This window comes from Homo sapiens, chromosome 11 (genome assembly GCF_000001405.40).
Source record: "Homo sapiens chromosome 11, GRCh38.p14 Primary Assembly".
Lineage (NCBI taxonomy): Eukaryota > Metazoa > Chordata > Mammalia > Primates > Hominidae > Homo > Homo sapiens.
Window position 1 is genome coordinate 66,238,433 of NC_000011.10, and position 4,732 is coordinate 66,243,164.

Genomic DNA, 4,732 nt, shown 5'->3' on the forward strand with positions numbered 1-4,732 from the left:
TTGTTTGTTTGTTTCTACAGCTGGGCTGCTCCAGATTTGCAAAGATTTTTTTATTTACTTATTTATTTGATGTATTTATTTATTTTGAGATGGAGTCTCGCTCTGTCGCCCAGGCTGGAGTGCAGTGGCGCCATCTCAGCTCACTGAAACCTCCGCCTCTCAGGTTCAAGCGATTCTCCTATCTCAGCCTCCCAAAGTGCTGGGATTACAGGCATAAGCCACCACGCCCAGCCCAGATTTGCAAAGATTTTAAAGTCGGCAATAAAATAATGTGTAGTGATGGCTCTTGTGCCACCAATGTGTTTCTGGTTGGATCAGAACATGCCTGCTTTAACAGGAGGATCTAATGAGTGCCTCTTCTCTCCTTGCAGGTGGTGAAGGTGGGTCTGGTTGAAGACTCTCCCTCCACAGCAGGTGAGGCTGGGGCTCCCTTGTTCTGTGGAGTGAGGCTGGTGCCCTCCCTGTCTTCCCTCTAGTCCAGCAGGCCAGAAGTTAAGCTCTGGATGCCCTGAGGGAAGTCAGAGCTTGAGCAGGAAGCCTATGGGCGCCCTCACTCCCCTGCTGCGGTGGTGGCTGGGGGAGGTGGAAGGAGCCTGGGGCCAAAGGAGGAAAGCAGGCCACAGGATGGGAGGAACCCCGGCTCCTTGCCACCACCAAGTCAGAGATAGCTTCCTCTGGCCAACTGTGTTTGTCGTTTGTCCCCTGACAGGCGATGGGGACGATTCTCCTGTGGTCAGCCTTACTGTGCCCTCCACATCACCACCCTCCAGCTCGGGCCTGAGCCGAGACGCCACGGCCACCCCTCCCTCCTCCCCATCTATGAGCAGCGCCCTGGCCATCGTGGGGTAAGGCTCCTGCCCGTACCTGTCCTGCCATGCCCTCCATCAGGCCCACCCGGCTGATTCCAGTGACAGGCGCATGGGCTTAGAAGGTAGCCACAGGAAGCCGGGCGTGGTAGTGCACACCTGTGGTCCTAGCTACTCAGGCTGAGGCAGGAGGATTGCTTGAGCCCAGGAATTTGAGGCTGCAGTGAGCCATGACTGCGCCACTGCACTGTAGCCTGTGTGACAGCAAGACCCTGTCTCTCAAAAAAAAACCCAAAACACTAAAGTTAGAATTCAGAGACATATCACTAGCCGGCCTGGTCATGGGAGGACACTTTCTGCCCTGTTTCACAGTATTGGGTTGAATGAGACAATGTTGGCAGAGGCCTGTGAAGTGCTGTGCAAGTGTCTTGTTATGGGACCTCCCAGGTGTTGTTATGGGACCTCCCAGGTGCAAGAAAGAGCATGGCACTTGGGAAATAAAACACACGTGGGTTTGAGTGGTTCTGTCTTGTCTCTGCACTGCCTTAGCTTAGACAAGTTACTGAACTTCAATTTCATCTAATGAAAAGAGGTGAAGTGGCCACCTTGCAGGACTGTGGAGCAGGTTACATAAGAACGTGGAAACCAGGCCTCATCCTGTAGTTCCAGCCACTCCGGAGGCCAAGGCCGGAGGATCGCTTGAGCCCAGGAGTTCAAAGCTAGGCCTGGGCCACGTAGTGACGTGGATTGGGCTGTTCTTTCTAGTGTCTTCCTTTTTTCTTCTTTTTTAGGGACGTGGATTGTCTCCTTTGGTGACAGTCAGAGGGCCTCTCTAAAGGAAACAATCCACGTCTCTAAAAAAGAGAAAAAGAACATGCGTGTCAGTGCCTGGCACAGTGAGGCAGCCCTGCTGAGGCGCTAGAGCTGGAGCCGGCGCGGGAGCAAGCGGCGGAGCTCGGGTTCAGGCTGAATCTCTGAGACCACTGGAAGCAGTGATATAGCAGGAGGCCGTGTCTTTAGGATCTCAAGTATCTACAGTTTAGATCAAGGGTCCAGCAGCAGGGGGCAGAGAGAGGGTGGAGGGGTGGGCTCCTGACAAGAAGGCCGAGGTGAGGAGAGCAGGCGTGGTCAGCGCTGGGAAGGAGCAGCCTGCCTTCCCTTCCCCCATTTCGCTGCCTTCCGCCTTCGCCTCTTCCCTTTCCTTGTAGCAACAGCGAGGATGGCATTGGCCGGTGGCTTCCCCCAAAGTGCTAGTAATGTGTTGGGTGGCACGAAGCCTGCCCCGGAGCTAGAATCCCAGTCCCTGGTCTCCCTCAGCCTCTGCTCCTCGGGGCACTTCCCTTCAGGGTCTTCTGGAGGGAACAGTAGAGGAAAGGAGGAAGTACCCACGCAGCCAAGTTCTGCCCTGGGGACCTCAGGTTCCTGGCCTCCTGGAGGCGTTTTCTCTCATCTCACCCCACAGCGGAAGGGTTTCTGTCCAGCATGGGTTTGGGGAGCCTTGGCACCAACCCTTTCCTCTACCTCCTTTCCCTTCCAAGTTAATCTTGTTTTTTAATGGAACCTCCAAAATGAGGCAGAAAGAGAAAAGTCAGATGACTTTCCTAGCCTGTGTACCTATTGTGTCTGACACCTCCTTTCAAGACATACCAGCCCTTCTCCCGGGAGCTAAAATTATCGCTGAGCTAAGAGTGCCATGAAAAGGAGAAAGCTGCAGGTCGGGTGGCACCAGCTGCTGTCCTGAGGCTGCACTGGAGCCGCCCGCAGGGGCTTCTGCCGGGCTCAGGCCTTCTCTCCAGCTCGAGGCTCAGTTTGGCCCAGGCTTTGCCTGCTGGGCGTGTATGTGTGTGTGTGTGTGTTATATGTGTGTATATGTGTGTGCACGCATGCACTTATGTACACACACACTTTCTTCCTTCATAAAGCTTCCTTCTCTGCTGCCCTTGTCATCCTGTGAAGATTTTATTTGGTTTCCTTTTCGTGACTTGGGCCTTTATTCTCCCCAGCTTTGTTCTCAGATCAGCCTGATTCTCCTCTCCTACATGAGCTGCTCTGTGTGGCTGGAGGGAACAGAGCTGCAGCCTTCCTCAGCCTGCCCTCCCGGGGACTGGCATGGCCCCTACCCCATCAGGCCTATGTAGTTGGGAGCTGAAGGCAGAGCTGACCTCTCCTCTTTGTTCCCTTTCCTCAGGAGCCCTAATAGCCCATATGGGGACGTGATTGGCCTCCAGGTGGACTACTGGCTGGGCCACCCCGGGGAGCGGAGGAGGGAAGGCGACAAGAGGGACGCCAGCTCGAAGAACACCCTCAAGAGTGTCTTCCGCTCAGTGCAGGTGTCCCGCCTGCCCCATAGTGGGGAGGCCCAGCTTTCTGGCACCATGGCCATGACTGTGGTCACCAAAGAAAAGAACAAGAAAGGTAAGTACCCCCAAGGCCGGGGAAGACCATGGGCCACCAGGCCTCCCGTCTCGTCTCTCAGGGCCTGGGAATAAATCTGCTTTTGGGATATTTGGGATGAAGAAGCATCCCATGGTCTGGCATGGGGTGCAGAGGGGGCAGTCCCACCTCCCCTCGAGGGACAAGGCCATTCCTTCTGTCATGCAGGAAACCGAGGCTGCAGAGAGTCGCTTGGTCACTCTCTGCTGAGCTCCAGTACTTTAGGGGCTGAGGCAGCTGCCACTGTGTAATGAAGGGGGCCTTTCTGGCCACTGCTGTCCGGGATGGACTGCAGACAGGGAGAGGCCTCTCTATATCACAGCTCCAGGTCCCTGTGACGCAGGAGTAGAGAACTTGCACCCAGCCCTGGAGGCCTCTCCAAAGAGGCCTCATGAGCAAAAGGACGTGGTTGTGTTTTCAGGATTAAGGGGCATACAGTCCATTCTGGATAGCAGGGGTAGCTTAAGGAGCTGGAGGGGAGTTGGAGCTGGCCCGGCTCCTGTGCGTGGGAGTGAGGCAGGAACCCCCATGGCTGGGCCAGTGCTGCGGCAGCGCCTGCCACCGTTGGTGCCAGCTGGGGACCCGCAACTGGTAGTGCACCTGCAGCACTGGCATGACCCCAACCCCGCCTCCTTTGGGTGCTGCAAAGCAGCTGTGCCTATTTCTGTGTGTGACTCCCCTCTGCAGAGTTCCCCTGGGGGGTCAGGCATGGGGCTGTGCCAGGCCCACAGCCAAAACCCACGGCCTGCAGCACAGAAACTTGCAAGGGGAAGCTGCCTGCTCAGCAGTGACCTCCCTGCCCTTGCTTCCTTTCTGGAGTGGGAGTGGAACAGGGAGCACTCCCCGGCATCCCCAGGACAGCGTGAGGACAAACTCATGCTGCACTGGCTCCTGCATAGAGCATGCGCCTGATAGGGAGGCAGGCCCCTGCCCCACAGGCTGCCTAGAACGTTCCAGCTGGAAAGGACTTCAGAGACCATCTGGACCAAGGTCTTCACTGAACAGGCGAAGATATCGAGCCCCAGGGGGAGAAGTGGGACCTTAGCCAAAGTCACCAGCCCAGTGCTGGGACTGAGTCAGGAACCTGAAGATCCTGACCCACAGCCCAGTGCCAGGGAGGAGGGGTTGGTTTGCAGATCACCTCCCCTCGCCACAGGAAGAAGGGGACAGTCGGCTGGGGAGGAGAGGGGTGGCGGCTTCCCCAGGGGCTGGGACACAGGTGGCCTTGCTTGCTTTCCAGTTCCCACCATCTTCCTGAGCAAGAAACCCCGAGAAAAGGAGGTGGATTCTAAGAGCCAGGTCATTGAAGGCATCAGCCGCCTCATCTGCTCAGCCAAGCAGCAGCAGACTATGCTGAGAGGTGCGAGGGCAGGCAGGGCCGGGAGGAGGGCAAGAAAGGGACTGGAGAGGGAGGCAGGCAATGGCCTTTCCCAAGGGGCCCTGGGGAGATGGCCTGAGCAGTCTGGTCACCCCTCCTCTCCTGTCACCCCTAG

The 4,732-nt window shown here is 56.7% G+C and overlaps 1 protein-coding gene across 3 annotated transcripts in view, besides 2 other annotated features; it reads left to right on the forward strand.

The window, feature by feature from the left end:
- Window positions 1-4,732, forward strand: part of PACS1 (phosphofurin acidic cluster sorting protein 1) — a 174,473-nt gene that overhangs the window by 168,161 nt on the left and 1,580 nt on the right. For all 3 annotated transcript variants that reach the window (NM_018026.4, XM_011545164.3, XM_011545162.2), the window contains exons 20-23: window positions 372-414; window positions 710-845; window positions 2,995-3,221; window positions 4,480-4,599. In NM_018026.4, coding sequence (NP_060496.2) covers window positions 372-414; window positions 710-845; window positions 2,995-3,221; window positions 4,480-4,599 — 526 coding nt within the window. The remainder of the gene's footprint in view (window positions 1-371; window positions 415-709; window positions 846-2,994; window positions 3,222-4,479; window positions 4,600-4,732) is intronic.
- Window positions 264-775: an enhancer, noted in NCBI's record as "H3K4me1 hESC enhancer chr11:66006167-66006678 (GRCh37/hg19 assembly coordinates)". NCBI's record gives its function as "activates a minimal SCP1, AML or CMV promoter by ChIP-STARR-seq in primed H9 embryonic stem cells {active_cell/tissue: H9 hESC(primed)}" and the evidence as "EXISTENCE:reporter gene assay evidence [ECO:0000049][PMID:30033119]".
- Window positions 776-1,287: an enhancer, noted in NCBI's record as "H3K4me1 hESC enhancer chr11:66006679-66007190 (GRCh37/hg19 assembly coordinates)". NCBI's record gives its function as "activates a minimal SCP1, AML or CMV promoter by ChIP-STARR-seq in primed H9 embryonic stem cells {active_cell/tissue: H9 hESC(primed)}" and the evidence as "EXISTENCE:reporter gene assay evidence [ECO:0000049][PMID:30033119]".